The 20,501-nt window shown below is 42.3% G+C and overlaps 1 protein-coding gene across 2 annotated transcripts in view, besides 2 other annotated features; it reads right to left on the bottom strand.

Annotated features, from left to right (window-relative positions):
• Nucleotides 1-20,501, bottom strand: part of FAM228B (family with sequence similarity 228 member B) — a 92,806-nt gene that overhangs the window by 57,944 nt on the left and 14,361 nt on the right. For both annotated transcript variants that reach the window (NR_111929.2, NM_001291328.2), the window contains exon 3: nucleotides 16,466-16,554. The gene's annotated coding sequence lies outside the window, so the exon portion shown is untranslated. The remainder of the gene's footprint in view (nucleotides 1-16,465; nucleotides 16,555-20,501) is intronic.
• Nucleotides 6,727-6,786: an enhancer, noted in NCBI's record as "active region_15426". NCBI's record gives its function as "activates an Ori minimal core promoter by ATAC-STARR-seq in GM12878 lymphoblastoid cells {active_cell/tissue: GM12878}" and the evidence as "EXISTENCE:reporter gene assay evidence [ECO:0000049][PMID:35858748]".
• Nucleotides 15,541-16,740: an enhancer, noted in NCBI's record as "BRD4-independent group 4 enhancer chr2:24317825-24319024 (GRCh37/hg19 assembly coordinates)". NCBI's record gives its function as "activates an origin of replication core promoter dependent on BRD2, P300/CBP, MED14 and CDK7 cofactors, and independent of BRD4, by STARR-seq in HCT116 cells {active_cell/tissue: HCT116}" and the evidence as "EXISTENCE:reporter gene assay evidence [ECO:0000049][PMID:35650434]".

Here is a 20,501-nt window from a genome sequence, read left to right as displayed (position 1 = left end):
CCAGTTAGTGCTAAATCATGGTGATGTTGGACAGTCACACCTCTGCAGTCCAGAGATGTACAATATAAAGATACTTGTGAGGTTTGCACGACAAGCCAGGAAGCATTTGAGGACTTCTAGCCACAACTCCAAAAGAGGACAGGGATGCCAAGGCCCAAAGCTAAACAAAGACTGAGCTATCAATACTTCAGGCTAAAATTAGGCTGTGTCATCAAAACAGAATGGACAGGAGCAGAGATATGCAAAGAATGGCTCTCAAGCCTGCAAGACTTGAACATGTGAACATATTGATATGTGTGTAGAAGGAATGTGTAACCACAAAAAAAATGGAAGTGGGGCCAGGTGCGGTGGCTCATGCCTATAATCCCAGCACTCGGGAGGCTAAAGCAGGTGGATTGCCTGAGCCCAGGAGTTCGAAATCAGCCTGGGCAACATAGCAAGATCTTGTCTCTACAAAAAATGCAAAAATAGCTGGGCATGGTGGCACACCCCTGTAGTCCCAACTACTCAGGAGGCTGAGGCAGAAGGGTTGCTTGAGCCCAAGAGTTTCAGGTTACACTGAGCTATGATCATGCCACTATATTCTAGCCTAGGTGACACGGCGAGACTCTGTTTCAAAAAAAAAAAGATCAGCCAGGAAGCTCAGATAAGAGTCACTGGAGTAAATGTTGGTTGGGCCCATTCAAAGTGGGAGGGTTTATGAGCAAACAATTTAAGTACCCTGGTAGTTTCCAACAATAATTCTTTGACCAAGTGTCCTACGATTCAATTTGACACTAGCTAACTGGAGTTAGTGTAGACCTCACAGGTTAAGGAGCTCAGTTCCCACAAGCCTGTCCCCACTACAGATGCCAAACACGAGTTCCAGGTCCCCAGGCTACCCGCACTACCCACACTTCTGTCTGACCTGGCTACAGATTTGGGGGGGGAGTCCCATGACTCATGATAATTTGCTGGAATGACTACAGAACTCATGAAAAGGCTACACTGCACTTACGATTGCAGTTTTCTTATAAAGGATGCAAGTCAGGAATAGCCAAATGGAGATGTATAGGGCGGGGGCACAGAACTTCCACACCTCTCCAGACACATGCGCCTCCCAGCACATGGAGGTGTTCGCCAGCCCAGAAGCTCTCTCTCCAAACCTTGTTGTTCCAGGGTTTTTATATGGGCTTCTGTTATGTAGGCATAATTGACTGAATCATCGGCTATATGATTGAACTCAATCCCCACTCACTTTTCCTCCCCAGAAGTCAGGAGATGAAGCTAAAAGTTCCAGCCCTCTAATCACAGGGTTGGTTCTTCTGGTGACCAGCCCCTGCCCTGAAGCTATCTAGTACCTATCCCCCATCCCAGAAATGGGTGACTGATAGGTGTTTTTTCTGATCCCCTCCCTCCTCCCACCCTCCACTCTCAAGCAGGCCCCAGTGTCTGTTGTTTCCCTCCTAGTATCCACGTGTTCTCCTTGTTTAGCTCCCACTTACAAGTGAGAACAGGTGGTATTTGGTTTTCTGTCCCTGTCTTAGTTTGCTAAGGATAATGCCTCCACCTCTATCCATGTTGCTGCAAAGGACATGATCTCATTCTTTTTATGGCTGCATAATATTCCATGATGTATATATACCACATTTTCTTTATCCTGTCTACCATTGATAGGCATTTAGGTTGATTATGTGTCTTTACTATTGTGAATAGGCTGCAGTGGACATATGCATGGATGTATCTTTATGGTAGAATGATTTATATTCTTTTGGGTATATACCCAGTAATGGGATTGCTGGGTCAAATGGTAATTCTGTTTTAAGTTCACTGAGGAGTTGCCACACTTATTTCTACAATGGCTGAACTAATTTACACTCCCATCAGCACTGTATAAGCATTCTCTTTTCTCCACAACCTCGCCAACATCTATTATTTTTTGACTTTTTAATAATAGCCATTCTGAATGGTGTGAGATGGTATCTTGTAGTTTTCATTTGCATTTCTCTAATGGTTAGTGATGTTGAGCATTTTTCATATGCTTTTTGGCTGCATATATGTCTTCTTTTGAAAAGTGTCTGTTCATGTTCTTTGCCCACTTTTTGATGGGGTTGTTTTTGCTTGTAAATTTGTTTAAGTTCCTTATAGATTCTGGATATTAGACCTTTGTCAGATGTATAGTTTGCAAATATTTTCTCTCAGTAGGTTGTCTGTTTACTCTGTTGATAGTTTCTTTTGCTGTGCAGAAGCTCTTTAATTTAATTACATGCCATTTGTCAATTTTTGTTTCGTTGCAATTGCTTTTGGTGTCTTCATTATGAAATCTTCACCAAGTCCTATGTCCAGAATGGCATGTCCTAGGTTATCTTCCAGTGTTTTTATAGTTTGAGTTTTTACACATAAGTCTTTAATCCATCTTGAGTTGATTTTGTATATGGTGTAAGGAAGGGGTCAAATTTCAATCTTCTGCATGTGGCTAGCCATTTATTCTAGCACCATTTATTGAATAAGGAGTACTTTCCATTGCTTTTTTTTTTTTTTTTTGCCATTACTCTTTTTTTTTGTCAACTTTGTTGAAGATCAGATGGTTATAGGTGTATGGCATTATTTCTGGGCTCTCTCTACTGTTCCATTGGTCTATATGTCTGTTTTTGTACCAGTACCATGCTGTTTTGGTTACTGTAGCCCTGTAGTATATAGTTTGAAGTTGGGTAAGGTGATGCCTTCAGCTTTGCTTAGGGTTGCCTTAGCTATTCGAGCTCTTTTTTGGTTCCATATGAATTTCAAAATAGCTTTTTCTTTTTTTTTTTTTTTTGAGACGGACTCTTGCTCTGTCAGCCAGGCTGGAATGCAGTGGCGCAATCTCGGCTCACTGCAAGCTCCGCCTCCCAGGTTCATGCCATTCTCCTGCCTCAGCCTTCCAAGTGGCTGGGACTACAGGTACCCACCACCACACCCAGCTAATTTTTTGTATTTTTAGTAGAGACAGGGTTTCACCGTGTTAGCTAGGATGGTCTCGATCTCATGACCTCGTGATCTGCCCGTCTAGGCCTCCCAAAGTGCTGGGATTACAGGCATGAGCCACTGTGCCCGGCCAATTTGCATATGTTAAACCAACTTTGCATGTGCTGTTGGATTCAGTTTGCTAGCATTTTGTTGAGAATTTGTGCATCTATGTTCATCAAAAATATCAGCCTGAATTTTTCTTTTCTTTTTATTTTTGTTGTTGTTGTGTCTCTGACAGGTTTTGGTATCAGAATGATGCTGGCCTCATAGAATGAGTTGGGGAGGAGTCCCTCCTCCTCAATTTTTTGTAATAGTTTCTGTTGGAATGGTACCAGCTTTTCTTTATACATCAGGTAGAATTTGGCTGAGAATCCCTCTGGTCCTGGACCTTTTTTGTTTGTTTGTTTGTTTGTTTTGGTTGGTGGGCTTTTTATTACTAATTCAATTTCAGAACTCATTATTGGTCTGTTCAGGGATTCAGTTTATTCCTGGTTCAGTCTTAGGAAGCTGTATGTGTCCAGGAATTTATCCACTTCTAGATTTTCTAGTTTGTGTGCATAGAGGTATTCAAAGTAGTCTCTAAAGGTGTTTTGTATTTCTGTGGGGCCAGTGGTAACCTCCTCTTTGTAATTTCTAATTGTATTTATTTGGATCTTCTCTCGTTTTTTCTTTATTAGTCTAGCTAGTGATCTATCTATCTGATTAATTTCTTTCAAAGAACCGATTTCTGGATTTGTTGATCTTTTGTATGGTTTTTGTGTCTCAATTTCCTTTAGTTCAGCTCTGATTTTGGTTATTTCTTGTCTTCCAATAGCTTTGGGGTTGGTTTGCTCATGCATTCCTAGGTCTTCTAGTTGTAATATTAGGTTGTTAATTTGGGATCTGTCTGTTTCATGTGGGCATTTAGTGCTATAAACTTCCCTATTAACACTGCCTTAGCTGTGTCCCAGAGATTCTTGTATGTCATATCTTTGTTCTCATTAGTTTGGAAGAATTTTTTTATTTCTGACCTAATTTCGTTATTTACCCAAAAGTCATTTTGGAGCAGGTTGTTTAATTTCCATGTAATTGTGTGATTTCAATGATTTTCTTAGTATTGATTTCTATTTTTATTGCACTGTGGTCTGAGAATGTGGTTGGTATGATTTCAGGTTTTTTTATTTTGCTGAGTATTGTTTTATGTCTGATTGTCTGGTTGATTTTGGAGTATGTGCCATTTGGTGATAAGAAGAATGTATATTCTGTTGTTTTTAGGTGGAGCACTCTGTAGATGTCTATCAGGTTACTTTGGTCAAGTGTTCAGTTCAGGTCCTGAATAGCTTTGTTAATTTTCTGCCTCAATGATCTGTCTAATACTGTCAGTGGGGTGTTGAAGTCTCCCATTATTATTGTGTGGGAATCTAAATCTCTTCATAGGTCTCTAAGAACTTGTTTTATGAATCTGGGTGCTCCTGTGTTGAGTGTGTATATATTTAGGATAGTTAGGTCTTCTTGTTGAATTGTACCCTTTACTATTATATAATGCCCTGTTTATCTTTTTTTATCTTTGTTAGGTTAAAGTCCATTTTGTCTGAAATTATGATTGCAACCCCTGCTTTTTTTCTGTTTTCTGTTTGCTTTGTAGATTTTTCTCCATCCTTTTATTTTGAGCCTATAGATGTCATTACATGTGAGATGGGTCTCTTGAAGACAGCATACTATTGGGTCTTGCTTTTTTATCCAGCTTGCCACTCTGTGCCTTTTGATTGAGGTATTTAGCTGATTTACATTCAAGGTTAGTATTGATATGTGCAGATTTGATCCTGTCATCATGTTAGCTGGTTATTATGCAGACTTGTTAGTGTGGTTGATTTATAGTGTCACTAGTCTGTCTACTTAAGTGTGTTTTTGTAATGGCTAGTCATGGTCTTTCCCATCCATATTTGCTACTCCTCTCAGGACTGCTCATAAGGCAGATCTGGTGGAAAAAAAAAAATCCCCTCAGCATTTGCTTGTCGGAAAATCATCTTATTTCTCCTTCACATATGAAGCTTAGTTTGGCCAGATATGAAATTCTTAGTTGGAAATTTTCTTCTTTAAGAATGAAATGAGGCCAGGTAAGGTGGCTCATACCTGTAATCCCAGCACTTTGGGAGGCTGAGGCAGGCAGATCACCTGAGGTCAGGAGTTTGAAACCAGCCTGGCCAACACAGCAAAACCCTGTCTCTACTAAAAATACAAAAATTAGCTGGTCATAGTGGCGGGTGCCTGTAATCCCTGCTACTTGGGAGGCTGAGACAGAAGAATCACTTGAACCCAGGAGGTAGAGGTTGCAGTGAGCTGAGATCATGCCACTGCACTCAGCCTGGGCAACAGAGCAAAACTCTGTCTCAAAAAAAAAAAAAAAAAAAAAAGAATGCTGAATATAGGCCACCAGTCTCTTCTGGCTTTTAGGGTTTCTGTTGAAAGATCTGCTGTTAGCCTGATGGAGTTCCCTTTGTAGGTAACCTGCCCTTTCTCTCTAGCTGCCTTTGACATTTTTTCTTTCATGTAAACTTTGGAGAATCTGACGATTATGTGTCTTGGGGATGGTCTTGAGTAATATCTCTCAGGGTTCTCTGCATTTCCTGGATTTGAATGTTGGCCTCTCTAACAAGCTTCAGGAAATTTTCATGAACATTATCCTAAAATATGTTTTCCAAGTTGCTTGCTTTCTCCCTGTCTCTTTCAGGGATGCCCATGAGTCATAGATTTGATCTCATTACATAATCCCATATTTCTCTGAGGTTTTGTTCACTCTTTTTTATTCTTTTTTCTTTATTCTTGTCTGAATGGGTTATTTCAGAGAGCTAGTCTTCAAGCTCTGGGATTCTTTACTCAGCTTGGTCTATTCCGCTGTTAATACTTGCAGTTAGAATGTGCAATTCTTGTAGTGTGTTTTTCAGCTGTATCAGATCAGTTGGGTTCTTTTTTATAGAGGCTATTTCATCTGTCAGCTCCTGTATTGTTTTATTGTGATTATTAGCTTCCTTGGATTGGGTTTTGAATTCTCCTGAATCTTGATGATCTTCATTCCTATCCATATTCTGAATTCTATTTCTGTCATTTCAGTCATTCCAGCCCAGTTAAGAACCCTTGCTGGGGAACTAGTGTGGTCATTTGGAGGAAAGAAGACACTCTGGCTTTTTGATTTGCCAGAGTTTTTGTGCTAGTTCTGTCTCATTTGTGTAGGCTGATGTTCCTTCAATCTTTGAAGTTGCTGTCCTTTGGATGAAATTTTTTGTTTTTGCTTTTTTCTTCTTTGATGCCCTTGGGGGTTTGACTACAGGGCAAACCAAACCAAGGTGGGTTTGGTTAACTGCTTTCAATTCTAGTCCACTCCTAGGTCTTGGAGGAGCCCCTTCCAATTACTGTCTCCCTATTTGCATTTCTTTTTTGGGGTGTTCTGGTCCATGGAGCTCCCTTAGGCAAGGGCCACAGGTGGCAGACAAGCTGTAACCTTGCCAGGTCAGCTCCAATCTGCTGTCTGTGTGCTTCCTGGGGAAACACGAGGTTGTCCCTGCCTGCAGAGTTCAGGCAGAATCAGGACCACTGGATTGGAAACTACTGGGTGTGGCCCATCTGGCTACAGGACGCGGGGGTGGGTGGATGCAGTTGGCTGCCCTGCTGTCTGGGTGTTTCCAGTGCAACAGGAGGCTGCGTCCCTTGACAAATTCAGGTAGAAGTAGAGCCACTGGGCCAGCTCTGGCAGGTGTGGCTTGCCTGGCTACCAGTGGCTGGTGTTGGTGGGAATGCCTTCTCTGGTGTCTGTGCTTCCTGGGACAACAGAAGGCTGCATTTGTTGGCTGAGTTCACACAGAAGCAGGACTGCTGGGCCAGAAGCTCTAGCAGGTGTTATCCACCTGGCTGTCAGTGGCAAGGGTGGGTATGGTCATGTGCCTTGCCATTTGGGTGCTTCCTATGACAACAGGAGGCTGCACCCACCAGTTGAATCCACACAGAAGCAGAGCTGCTGGGCCAGGAGCTCTAGCAGTTGTTACCCAACTGGCTACCAGTGGCAGGGTAGGTAGAGTCACTTACTCTGCTGTTCGGGTGTTTCCCAGGACAACAGAAAGCTGCACCCTCTAGCTGAGTTCACACAGAAGCAGGGCTATTAGGCTGGAAGCTCTAGCAGGTGTTGCCCGCCTGGCTACCAGTGGTGGGGGTGGGTGGAGTGGCTGGCCGAGTTCAGGCTGAAGTGAGACTACTGGGCTAGAGGCTGGTGTTGAGTCCTACCCAGCATGGGTGGGTGGAGCAACCTTACTGCTCCCATGCATGGCAACTGCAGCCTTTGCTGGGGCTTCGGCGCTGGCTGGTCTGCCCCAGGGCCCAAGGCTTATAGAGGTCCCCTTGGACTCGAGAGTTGGCCCTATAATACGTCTGAGTGGCTCTCTGCCTCAGTCTAGAAACACGATGGGTGGGTGTGGGGCCCAGTGGGATTCTCCTATTCCCAGTCTTGCACAGGTCCCTGTGGAGAGCATGAATCACCCTGGGGGCTCTCACTCACTCACCCTGTCCTGTGCTGGAGAGGTTCTCCTGGCTCCATGCTGAGCCCAAACAGCTGGTGCCTGGCTTCACTCCTTTCTGCACTCTGTGTTCCTCTACTGCCCTGATGGGTCCCAACGTGGTTTTTCAGATGATCGGCCTGCAGCTCAGTGTTTGCTAGTCCTTTTGTTTCTTCTCCAAAACAGCAGCACACATGAGCTGCCTCTAGTCCACTATCTCGGCCCCACCCCCAATTCATCTCAATCGTCCCATCTTGTCCTGAGTCCTGGCTTACCATTTGACATTCCACATAGATTTGCCTGTAGATTTTGGGGTTCAGCCCCCATGCCAATAATTTCTTCTTACAAATTAGCACACTGATACCTGGATTTGAGAACTCAGTTCTGTGAGCTGTAGACCCGCGCTCCACATACCGACAGGCAGGGAGTCTGACCTGGACTATAGCGATTCTCTGAAGTTCTGCAGGCCTGGTGAAGCCTCTTGGCAGCTCACCTCCTGGCCGGCCAGCCTTTCCTAAACACACCCGCTGCATTGCTGGGTGCCTAGTGGGAGCCTTTTTCATAAACTTCCTCAAGGCAATAACTGTCTGGAGCCTCCTCTGTAGAGCATTCCAGTTGCCTCCTATAATTCTCATTACAAACTTCCAACTGGGTCCAGCTACGCAGAGAGACCCACACAAGTGACCCTTTGGTGGTAGCTATACAGCACCTGTGGAGGTGCCCAGGGAGCAGGCAATCTTTTGTAACAGAGGTCTCCAAATGAGAGAACTTTATGTCCTGATGGTTCACAAAGCCATTAGAAGGGGCACACAGGCATGAATGGATTTAAGGGGTTCCTTTTTCCCAGGTTCTCAACTTCCATACGTACTTTCCTGAAAAAGATCTGCTGTAGTTGAGGACTGATGTCAAAGCTACTTTCTGGCCTCCCTCCCCAGCCTCCCTTCACCCAGTATACAAAAGGGCTCACGCTCACACAGCCCTTTGAGCCTTTGAGCCTGGCTTGGAGCAAAAGAACTGTAAGGTGCCAAAGGAAGAGAAAATTCTAAATATTTTAAATTGCATGATTTCTTTCATCCTCCATTGTTCAAAAATGCATCATATGTGAAGGAGAGTCCCATGAGAGTAAAGCAAAAAAAGTATCAGTGAGAAACAGTGAACACTTTTGTATCATAATTCATCCAGGAAAGGAGGGCTGCATGCCTTGTCCATCTATATTTCTTAAGGTTCAGAAGCAAAATGATTGTTACAAGGCACATATTAACATGATTATTGAATTAAAAAATGAGAAACTTTTTCTGATACAAAGTAATTTGATTTGGCTGATTAGTTTAACAGTGAGGACTGCTTTTGCCAATAAGAATGTCACAGATGTTTTCCATAAATGAGTTAAGTCTGCAGCTCCGATATGTTAATGAAAATACATTTATTTTGTTTTTTGGTTTCTTTTTTGAGACAGAGTCTCACTCTGTTGCCCAGGCTGGAGTGCAATGGCATGATCTCAGCTCACTGCAACCTCCACCTCCAGGGTTCAAGCGATTCTCCTGCCTCAGCCTCCTGAGTAGCTGGGACTACAGGCACCTGCCACCATACCCAGCTAATTTTTGTACTTCTAATAGAGACAGGGTTTTGCCATGTTAGCCAGACTGGTCTTAAATTCCTGACCTCAGCTGATCCGCCTGCCTTGGGCTTCCAAAGTGCTGGAATTACAGGCGTGAGCCACCACTCCCAGCCTGAAAATACATTTAAAACATGAGATAGGGTAAAAGGATTTGATCCAAAAAATTTAGCAAAAATGTATTAAAATTAACATTTTTACTTCCCGAATCTTTCCTGAGCATATCAATTGAAACAAGGTGCCTCTAAGTGAAAAAATAGCAGATATAATTAATAAGCATTTGATAAGTCTTCAGAAAGCTTTGCTGGTATAATTCCAGAAACTGAGAACTTGAGTGACACTTGTGACTGAGTAACAGATTGGGTGGTTTCCAAGTCTTTACTTTCAACAAAACTGAAGCAAGATCTAATTAAGTTGTCAGCTAATAGAGCATTGAAAACAACTTTTGATGATAGATCATTATATGGTTTTTATTATATAATTCAGAGGTATTCAAAGAATCGGCTGGCATTCCTATGATGAAATTTTTTTCCCATCTAATTTATGCAAACTAGATTTCTCAGAGCTTGTCTATAAAAATAAAAAATAGGGACCGGGCGCGGTAGCTCACGCCTGTAATCCCAGCGCTTTGGGAAGCCAAGGCGGGCAGATCACAAAGTCAAGAAATAGAGACCATCCTGGCTAACACGGTGAAACCCGGTATCTACTAAAAATACAAAAAATTAGCCAGGCATGGTGGTGAGCGCTTGTAGTCCCAGCTACTCAAGAGGCTGAGGTGGAAGAATGGCGTGAATCTGGGAGGCGGAGCTTGCAGTGAGCTGAGATCGCGCCAGTGCACTCCATCGTGGGCGAAAGTGCGAGACCCCGTCTTTAAAAAATAATAAAAAAATAAAATAAAATAATAAAAACTAGGAAGAGAACTAATTTCGAACTCAGTCCAATTCTAGCAATAAGTAATATTCATCCACATATATAAATGTTGGGAAAAATTCAGCCCTACCATCATTAAGAATATATTTCCAATTACGTTTTATGTTTAATAATTATTATTTAAAATAATACATATTGTTTTGATCAATTGTGGACTAATAATATCATAATAATAAATCCAAAAGAAATTTAACACTTATAGTAGCCCTGTGGTCACAGAAAATAATTTTTTAAATTAATGTCAATTTACATACATATTTTTCCTGCAGATAAGAATGATCAGTAAAGCATAAAATATAGCAGAATATGATTCAATGAAAACAGTGGAATGAAAATATGAGTAGTAGAAGAAAAATAAGGTTGTAAAACTTTTTTTATTATTATACTTTAAGTTCTAGGGTACATGTACACAATGTGCAGGTTTGATACATAGGTATACATGTGCCATGTTGGTTTGCTGCACCCATCAACTCATCATTTACATTAGGTATTTCTTGTAATGCTATCCCTCCACCAGCCCCCAACCCCCCAACAGGCCCTGGTGTGTGATGTTCCCCACCCTGTGTCCAAGTGATCTCATTGTACAATTCCCACCTATGAGTGAAAACATGCACTATTTGGTTTTCTGTCCTTGTGATAACTTACTGAGAATGATGGTTTCCACCTTCGTCCATGTCCCTGCAAAGGACATGAACTCATCCTTTTTTATGGCTGCATAGTATTCCATGGTGTATATGTGCCACATTTTCTTATTCCAGTCTATCATTGATGGACATTTGGGTTGGTTCCAAGTCTTTGCTATTGTGAATAGTGCCACAATAAACATACGTGTGCATATGTCTTTATAGTAGCATGATTTATGATCCTTTGGGTATATACCCAGTAATGGGATTGCTGGGTCAAATGATAATTCTAGTTCTAGATCCTTGAGGAATTGCCACACTGCCTTCCACAATGGTTGAACTAATTTACACTCCCACCAACAGTGTAAAAGCATTCCTATTTCTCCACATCCTCTCCAGCATCTGTTGTTTCCTGACTTTTTAATGATTGCCATTTTAACTGGCACAAGATGGTATCTCATTGTGGTTTTGATTTGCATTTCTCTGATGACCAGTGATGATGAGCATTTTTTCATGTGTCTGTTGGCTGCATGGATGTCTTCTTTTGAGAAGTGTCTGTTCATATCCTTCACCCACTTTTTGATGGGATTTTTTTTCTTGTAAATTTGTTTGAGTTATTTGTAGATTCTGGATATTAGCCCTTTGTCAGATGGGCAGATTGCAAAAATTTTCTCCCATTCTGTAGGTTGCCTGTTCACTCTGATGGTAGTTTCTTTTGCCATGCAGAAGCTCTTTCGTTTAATTAGATCCCTTTTGTCAATTTTGGCTTTTGTTGCCATTGCTTTTGGTGTTTTAGTCATGAAGTCCTTGCCCATGCCTACGTCCTGAATGGTATTGCCTAGGTTTTCTTCTAGGGTTTTTATGGTTTTAGGTCTAACATTTAAGTCTTTAATCCATCTTGAATTAATTTTTTATAAGGTGTAAGGAAGGGATCCAGTCTCAGCTTTCTACATATGGCTAGCCAGTTTTCCCAGCACCATTTATTAAATAGGGAATCCTTTCCCCATTGCTTGTATTTGTCAGGTTTGTCAAAGATCAGATGGTTGTAGATGTGTGGTGTTATTTCTGAGGCCTCTTTTCTGTTCCATTGGTCTATGTATCTGTTTTGGTACCAGTACCGTGCTGTTTTGGTTACTGTAGCCTTGTAGTATAGTTTGAAGTCAGGTAGCTTGATGCCTCCAGCTTTGTTCTTTTTGCTTAGGATTGTCTTGGTAATGGGGGGTTCTTTTTTGGTTCCATATGATCTTTAAAGTAGTTTTTTCCAATTCTGTGAAGAAAGTCATTGGTAGCTTGATGGGGATGGCATTGAATCTATAAATACTTTGGGCAGTGTGGCCATTTTCATGATATTGATTCTTCCTATCCATGAGAATGAAATATTCTTCCATTTGTTTGTGTCCTCTTTTATTTCGTTGAGCAGTGGTTTGTAGTTCTCCTTGAAGAGGTCCTTCACATCCCTTGTAAGTTGGATTCCTAGGTATTTTATTCTCTTTGTAGCAATTGTGACTGGGAGTTCACTCATAATTTGGCTCTCTGTCTGTTAATGGCGTATAGGAATGCTTGTGATTTTTGCACACTGATTTTGTATCCTGAGACTTTGCTGAAGTTGCTTATCAGCTTAAGGAGATTTTGGGCTGAGACGATGGGGTTTTCTAAATATACAATCATGTCATCTGCAAACAGGGACAATTTGACTTCCTCATTTCCTGATTGAATACCCTTTATTTCCTTCTCTTGCCTGATTGCCCTGGCCAGAACTTCCAACACTATGTTGCGTAGGAGTGGAATCCTTGTCTTATGCCAGTTTTCAAAGGGAATGCTTCCAGTTTTTCCCCATTCAGTATGATATTGGCTGGGGGTTGTCATAAATAGCTCTTATTATTTTGAGATACACTCCATGAATATTTAGTTTATTGAGAGTTTTTAGCATGAAGCACTGTTGAATTTTGTTGAAGGCCTTTCCTGCATCTATTGAGATAATCATGTGGTTTTTGTCATTGGTTCTCTTTATGTGATGAATTACATTTATTGATTTGTGTATGTTGAACCAGCCTTGCATCCCAGGGATGAAGCCAACTTGATCATGGTTGATAAGCTTTTTGATGTGCTGCTGGATTTGGTTTGCCAGTATTTTATTGAGGATTTTCGCATTGATGTTCATCAGGGATATTGGTCTAAAATTCTCTTTTTTTGTTGTGTCTCTGCCAGGCTTTGGCATAAGGATGATGTTGGCCTCATGAAATGAGTTAGGGAGGATTCCCTCTTTTTCTATTGATTGGAATAGTTTCAGAAGGAATGGTACCAGCTCCTCTTTGTACCTCTGGTAGAATTTGGCTGTGAATCTATCTGGTCCTGGACTTTTTTTGGTTGGTAGGCTATTAATTATTGCCTCAATTTCAGAGCCTGTTATTGGTCTATTCAGAGGTTCAACTTCTTCCTGGTTTAGTCTTGGGTGGGTGTATGTTTCCAGGAATTTATCCATTTCTTCTAGATTTTCTAGTTTATTTGCAAAGAAGTGTTTATAGTATTCTCTGATGGTAGTTTGTATTTCTGTGGGATTGGTGGTGATATCCCCTTTATCATTTTTTATTGCATCTATTTGATTCTTCTCTCTTCTTCTTTATTAGTCTTGCTAGCAGTCTATCAATTTTGTTGATCTTTTCAAAAAACCAGCTCCTGGACTCCTTGATTTTTTTGAAGGGTTTTCGTGTCTCTATCTCTTTCATCTCTGCTCTGATCTCAGTTATTTCTTGCCTTCTGCTAGCTTTTGAATTTGTTTGCTCTTGCTTCTTTAGTTCTTTTAATTGTGATTTTAGGGTGTCAATTTTAGATCTTTCCTGCTTTCTCTTGTGGGTGTTTAGTGCTATAAATTTCCCTCTACACACTGCTTTAAACGTGTCCCAGAGATTCTGGTACGTTGTGTCTTTGTTCTCATTGGTTTCAAAGAACATCTTTATTTCTGCCTTCATTTCGTTATGTATCCAGTAGTCATTCAGGAGCAGGTTGTTCAGTTTCCATGTAGTTGTGTGGATTTGAGTGAGTTTCTTAATCCTGAGTTCTAATTTGATTGCACTGTGGTCTGAGAGACAGTTTGTTGTGATTTCTGTTCTTTTACATTTGCTGAGGAGTGCTTTACTTCCAATTATGTGGTCAATTTTAGAATAAGTGTGATGTGATGCTGAGAAGAATGTATATTCTATTGATTTGGGGTGGAGAGTTATGTAGATGTCTATTAGGTCTGCTTGTTGCAGGGCTGAGTTCAAGTCCTGGATATCCTTGTTAACCTTCTGTCTCGTTGATCTGTCTAATATTGACAGTGGGGTGTTAAAGTCTCCCATTATTATTGTGTGCAAGTCTAAGTTTCTTTGTAGGTCTCAAAGGACTTGCTTTATGAATCTGGGTGCTCCTGTATTGGGTGCATATATATTTAGGATAGTTAGCTCTTCTTGGCGAATTGATCCCTTTACCATTATGTAATGGCCTTGTCTCTTTTGATCTTTGTTGGTTTAAAGTCTGTTTTATCAGAGAATAGGATTGCAACCCCTGCTTTTTTTTTTTTTTTTTTTTGCTTTCCATTTGCTTGGTATATCTTCCTCCATCCCTTTATTTTAGTCTATGTGTGTCTTTGCACATGAGCTGGGTCTCCTGAATACAGCACATTGATGGGTCTTGACTCTTTATCCAATTTGCCAGTCTGTGTCTTTTAATTGGGGCATTTAGCCCATTTACATTTAAGGTTAATATCGTTATGTGTGAATTTGATCCTGTCATTATGATGTTCGCTGGTTATTTTGCCCGTTAATTCATGCAGTTTCTTCATAGCATCGATGGTCTTTACAATTTGGCATGTTTTTGCAGTGGCTGGTACCAGTTGTTCCTTTCCATGTTTAGTGCTTCCTTTAGGAGCTCTCGTAAGGCAGGCCTGGTGGTGACAAAATCTCTCAGCATTTGCTTGTCTGTAAAGGATTTTATTTTTCCTTTACTTATGAAGCTTAGTTTGGCTAGATATGAAATTCTGGGTTGAAAATTCTTTAAGAATGTTGAATATTGGCCCCCACTCTCTTCTTGTAGGGTTTCTGCAGAGAGATCCACTGTTAGTCTGATGGGCGTCCCTTTGTGGGTAACTCAACCTTTCTCTTTGGCTGCCCTTAACACTTTTTCCTTCATTTCAACCTTGGTGAATCTGACAATTATGTGTCTTGGGGTTGCTCTTCTCAAGGAGTATCTTTGTGGTGTTCTCTGTATTTTCTGAATTTGAATGTTGGCCTGCCTTGCTAGGTTGGGGAAGTTCTCCTGGATAATATCCTGAAGAGTGTTTTCCAAGTTGGTTCCATTCTCCCCATCACTTCCAGGTACACCAATCAAACATAGATTTGGTCTTTTCACATAGTCCCATTTGTCTTGGAGGCTTTGTTCATGTCTTTTTACTCTTTTTCCTGTAACCTTGTCTTATTTGCTTTATTTCATTAATTTGATCTTCAATCACTGATACCCTTTCTTCCACTTGATCGAATCGGCTATTGAAGGTTGTGCATGTGTCACGAAGTTCTTGTGCCGTGGTTTTCAGCTCCATCAGGTCATTTAAGGTATTCTCTACACTGTTTATTCCAGTTAGCCATTCGTCTAATCTTTTTTCAAGGGTTTTACTTCCTTGCGATGGGTTCAAACGTCCTCCTTTAGCTCGGAGAAGTTTGTTTTTACCAACCTTCTGAAGCCTACTTCTGTCGACTTGTCAAAGTCATTCTCCATCCAGCTTTGTCTCTTTGCTGGCGAGGAGTTGCGATCCTTTGGAGGAGAAGAGGCACTCTGATTTTTAGAATTTTCAGCTTTTCTGCTCTGGTTTCTCCCCATCTTTGTGGTTTTATCTACCTTTGGTCTTTGATGTTGGTGACCTACAGATGGGGTTTTGGTGTAGATGACCTTTTTGGTGATGTTGATGCTATTCCTTTCTGTTTTTCAGTTTTCCTTCTAACTGTCAGGTCCCTCAGCTGCAGGTCGGTTGGAGTTTGCTGGAGGTCCACCCCAGACCCTGTTTTCCTGGGTATCACCAGCGGAGGCTGCAGAACAGCAAATATTGCAGAACAGCAAATACTACTTCCTGATCCTTCCTCTGGAAGCTTCGTCCCAGAGAGGCAGGTGCCTATATGAGGTGTCTGTCGGCCCCTCCTGGGAGGTATCTCCTAGTTAGGCTACATGGGGGTGAGGGACCCACTTAAGGAGGCAGTCTGTCCGTTCTCAGAGCTCAAACACCGTGCTGAGAGAACCAATGCTCTCTTCAGAGCTGTCAGACAGGGACCTTTAAGTCTGCAAAAGTTGTCTGCTGCCTTTTGTTCAGCTATGCCCTGGCCACAGAGATGGAGTCTAGAGGCAGTAGGCCTTACTGAGCTGCAGTGGGCTCTGCCCAGTTCGAACTTCCCGGCTGCTTTGTTTACCTACTCAAGCCTCAGCAACAGCGGACGCCCCTCCCCCAGCCAGGCTGCCGCCTCACAGTTCGATCTCAGACTGCTGCACTAGCAGTGAGCAAGGCTCCGTGGGTGTGGAACCCGCCGAGCCAGGCATGGGAGAGAATCTCCTTGTCTGCCGGTGGCTAAGATCTTGGGAAAAGTGCAGTATTTGGGCAGGAGTGTCCCATTTTTCCAGGTAGTCTGTCACGGCTTCCCTTGGCTAGGAAAGGGAAATCCCCTGACCCCTTGCACTTCCAGGGTGAGGTGACGCCCTGCCCTGCTTCAGCTCCCCATCCGTGGGCTGCACCCACTGTCAAACCAGTCCCAGTGAGATGAATCAGTTACCTCAGTCGGAAATGCAGAAATCACCTGTCTTCTGCGTCGATCACGCTGGGAGCTGCAGACTGGAGCTGTTCCGGTTGTTAAACTTTTAACTGTTAAAGAAGAGTTTGGGTCTTTCTTAGTGGATGATTATATTAATAAATATCAAATTGCTCTAATATAAGGCTGGAGTGCAGTGGCGCAATCTTGGCTGACTGCAACCTCTGCATCCCAGGTTCAAGTGATTCTCCTGCCTCACCCTTGGGAGTAGCTAGGACTATGAGTGTGTGCCACCACGCCAGGCTAATTTTTTTGGTATTTTTAGTAGAGATGGGGTTTCACCATGTTGGCCAGGCTGGTCTCCAACTCCTGAACTCAAGTGATCTGCGCACCTCGGCCTCCTAAAATGCCAGGATTACAGGTGTGAGTCACCGCACCCGGCCCAATTGATATATTTAAAAGCCTGATGTAGGCTGGGCAAAGTGGCTCATGCCTGTAAACTCAGCACTTAGAGAGGCCAAGGAAGGAGGATCCCTTGAGGCCAAGAGTTCAAGACCAGCTGAGGCAACATAGTGAGACTGTCTCTACGAAAAACAGAAAAATTAGCCAGGCATGGTGTCATGTGCCTATAGTCCCAGCTACTAGGAAGACTGAGGTGGTAGGATTCCTTGAGTTCAGGAGTTTGAGGTTACAGTGAGTTATGATCACAACATTTTACTCCGGCCTCAGCAACAGAACAAGACTCTGTCTCTCGGGAGGGGGAAAAAGCCTGTTTTAAGAGTTTAAAATGTCAGTATTAAAAGAAATAAGAAATCCTTATCTTTTAAACTATTTATATTTCAGGTGAATAATTTTAGATATCAACTTAAAAATGTGAGAGGAGGCTAGGCACAGTGGCTCACACCTGTAATCTCTGTACTTTGGTAGATGGAGGCAGGAAGATCACTTAAGCCCAGGAGTTGAAGACCAGCCTGAGCAACATGAAAGATCTTGTCTCTACCAAAACTTTAAAAAGTAGCCAGGTGTGGTGGCATGTGCCTGCAGTCCCAGGCACATGAGACTACTCGGGAGGCCAAGGCCCAGTTATTCAGGAGGCTGGGGCAGGAGGATCACTTGAATCCAAGAGGTCAACACTGCAGTAAGCTATGATGGTGCCACTGCACTCCAGCCTGGGTGACACAGCAAGACCCTGTCTTAAAAAAAAAAAAAAAAAAAAAAAAAAAAGTATGTGGCGATTCCTCAGGGATCTAGAACCAGAAATACCATTTGACCCAGCAATCCCATTACTGGGTATATACCCAAAGGTTTATAAATCATTCCACTACAAAGACACATGCAGCCAGGAGCGGTGGCTCATACCTGTAATCCCAGCACTTTGGGAGTCTGAGGTGGGCAGATCACAAGGTCAGGAGTTCAAGACCAGCCTGGCCAATATGGTGAAACCCGTCTCTATTAAAAATACAAAAAAAATTAGCCAGGCTAGGTGGTGGGCCCCTGTAGTCCCAAGCTACTTGGGAGGCTAAGGCAGGAGAATCGCTTGAACCCAGGAGGAGGAGGTTGCAGTGAGCCAAGATTGTGCCACTGCACTTCAGCCTGGGTGACACAGCAAGATTCTGTCTCAAAAAAAAAAAAATGCACACATATGTTTATTGCAGCACTGTTTACAATAGCAAAGACACCGAACCAACCCAAATGCCCATCAATGATAGAGTGGATAAAGAAAATATGATACATATACACCATGGAATACTATGCAGCCATAAAAAAGAGTGAGTTCATGTCCTTTGCAGGGACATGGATGAAGCTGGAAACCATCATCCTCAGCAAACTAACACAGGAAGAGAAAACCAAATAGCGCATGTTCTCACTCATAAGTGGGAGATGAACAATGAGAACACGTGGACACACGGAGGGGGACATCACACACCGGGGCCTGTTGGGGGGCTAGGGGCAAGGGGAGGGAGAGCATTAGGACAAACACCTGATGCATGAGGGGCTTAAAGCCTAGATGACAGGCTGATAGGTGTAGTAAACCACCATGGCACATGTATGCCTACGTAACAAACCTGCACCTTCAACACATGTATCCCAGAACTTAAAGTAAAATAAAATAAAAATAAAAATAAAAAGTGAGAGGGGACACATAGTTTTGGGACATGCTTTTTGCCTATTTCAGAATAAAAATGTGTGCAGACTACCACCTGGAGTAAGGAGAAACGCCTTGAGCCCTGAGCCATGGTGGTGGGTGGCCAGGAAGATGGCAGAGGCAGGTAGCCTCTGTACATGGTGTGTGTGTGTGTGTGTGTGTGTGTGTGTGTGTGTGTGTGTGCATAAAATCATGTATATGTGTATGGGGGTATTTTGTCATTGTTTTACCATAATTTTACTCTGATTAAACAAACGCTTCACAGAAATCCCTTGATGTCAACTGCTATAGCTCTAGTTCATTTTTCAAGTGGATGCATAGAATTCACAATTTATGCAGCCATTCCCTTAGTGATGGGATCTACTTTGTTTCTAAATTTTTGTTACTATGATCAAGGCTGAAATAAACATCTCTGTACATACATCTGTATAATTGGTGTGTTTTATTTCTACAGGACAAACTCCTTAGAAGTAAGTTTCATACTGTCATTGTTACTATCGCTATGATTTATTTTCTTTCTTTCTTTTTTTTATGGAGACAGGGTCTCACTCTGTCACCCAGGCTGGAGTGCAGGGCGCGATCTCGGCTCACTGCAACCTCTGCCTCCCAGGCTCAAGCGAGTCTCCTGCCCCGCCTCCCGAATAGCTGGGATTACAGGCACATGCCACCACTACCCAGCTAATTTTTGTATTTTTAGTAGAGATGGGGTTTCACCATGTTGGCCAGGCTGGTCTAGAACTTCTGACCTCAAATAATCCACACACCTTGGCCTCCCAAAGTGGTGAGATTACAGGCCTGAGCCACTATGCTTGGCTGATTTATTTTCTGACATCTGGTAATATAAGTCTTTCCTACTACTATTCCTTTTTTTTTTTTTTTTTTTTTTTTTGAGACAGAGTCTTACTCTGTCACCCAGGCTGGAGTGCAGTGGTATGATCAATGCAACCTCTGCCTGCCAGGCCCATGTGATCTTTCCATCTCCCAGCCTCCCAAGTAGCTGGAACTACAGGCACATGCCACCATGCCTGGCTAATTTTTTGTAGGGATGGGGTTTTGCTATGTTGCCCAGGCTGGTCTTGAACTCCTGAGTTCAAGTGATCTGCCCACCTCGGCCTCCCAAAGTGCTGGGATTACAGATGTGAGCCAACACTCCCAACCCTACTATTCTTTTTCATATATTTATTGGTCATTTGGGGGGATTTGTTCTTCCACATACACTCTAACACCACTTTATCCAATCAAAAAATATACTGTTGGCATTATAACCAAATTTATAATGAATTTGTATACTAATTTGGTAAAACTGACATTTTGGGTACTGTATTCTCATCTAAAAACATGGTACTGTTTCATTTGTTCAGATCTTGTTTCTGTTCTTTGATATAGTTTTACAGTCTTCATTATATAATTTTTGTATCTTCCTTGTTAAATACATTCCTTATGCTTTTACAACTTGTACTGCTATGGTAAAAGTGTTATTTTCCCCATTTTTATTAATATTTCTAGTTGCTTAACTGAAGTAGAATAAAGCTATTGATTCTGGTGTATGTAGCTTTCATCTGGACAGCTTTTACAAATTATCTCATTATCTCAAACAAAAATGTTTGCTTCATTTTTAAAATTAGCATCTCTTGTGGTTTTTTGTATTTGTTTGTTTTTTGTTTTTGTTTTTGTTTTGAGACGGAATCTCACTCTGTTGCCCAGGCTGGAGTGCAGTGGCGATCTCGGCTCACTGCAAGCTCCGCCTCCCGGGTTCACGCCATTCTCCTGCCTCAGCCTCCCAAGTAGCTGGGACTACTGGCGCCCGCCACCACGCCCGGCTAATTTTTTGTATTTTTAGTAGAGGCGGGGTTTCACCGTGTTAGCCAGGATGGTCTCGATCTCCTGACCTCGTCATCCGCCTCCCAAAGTGCT

The sequence above is a fragment of the Homo sapiens genome, chromosome 2, assembly GCF_000001405.40.
Source record: "Homo sapiens chromosome 2, GRCh38.p14 Primary Assembly".
NCBI classification, from domain to species: Eukaryota; Metazoa; Chordata; class Mammalia; order Primates; family Hominidae; genus Homo; species Homo sapiens.
Note: the sequence above shows the minus strand (reverse complement) of the source record. Positions and strands in the feature narration are given on the sequence as shown.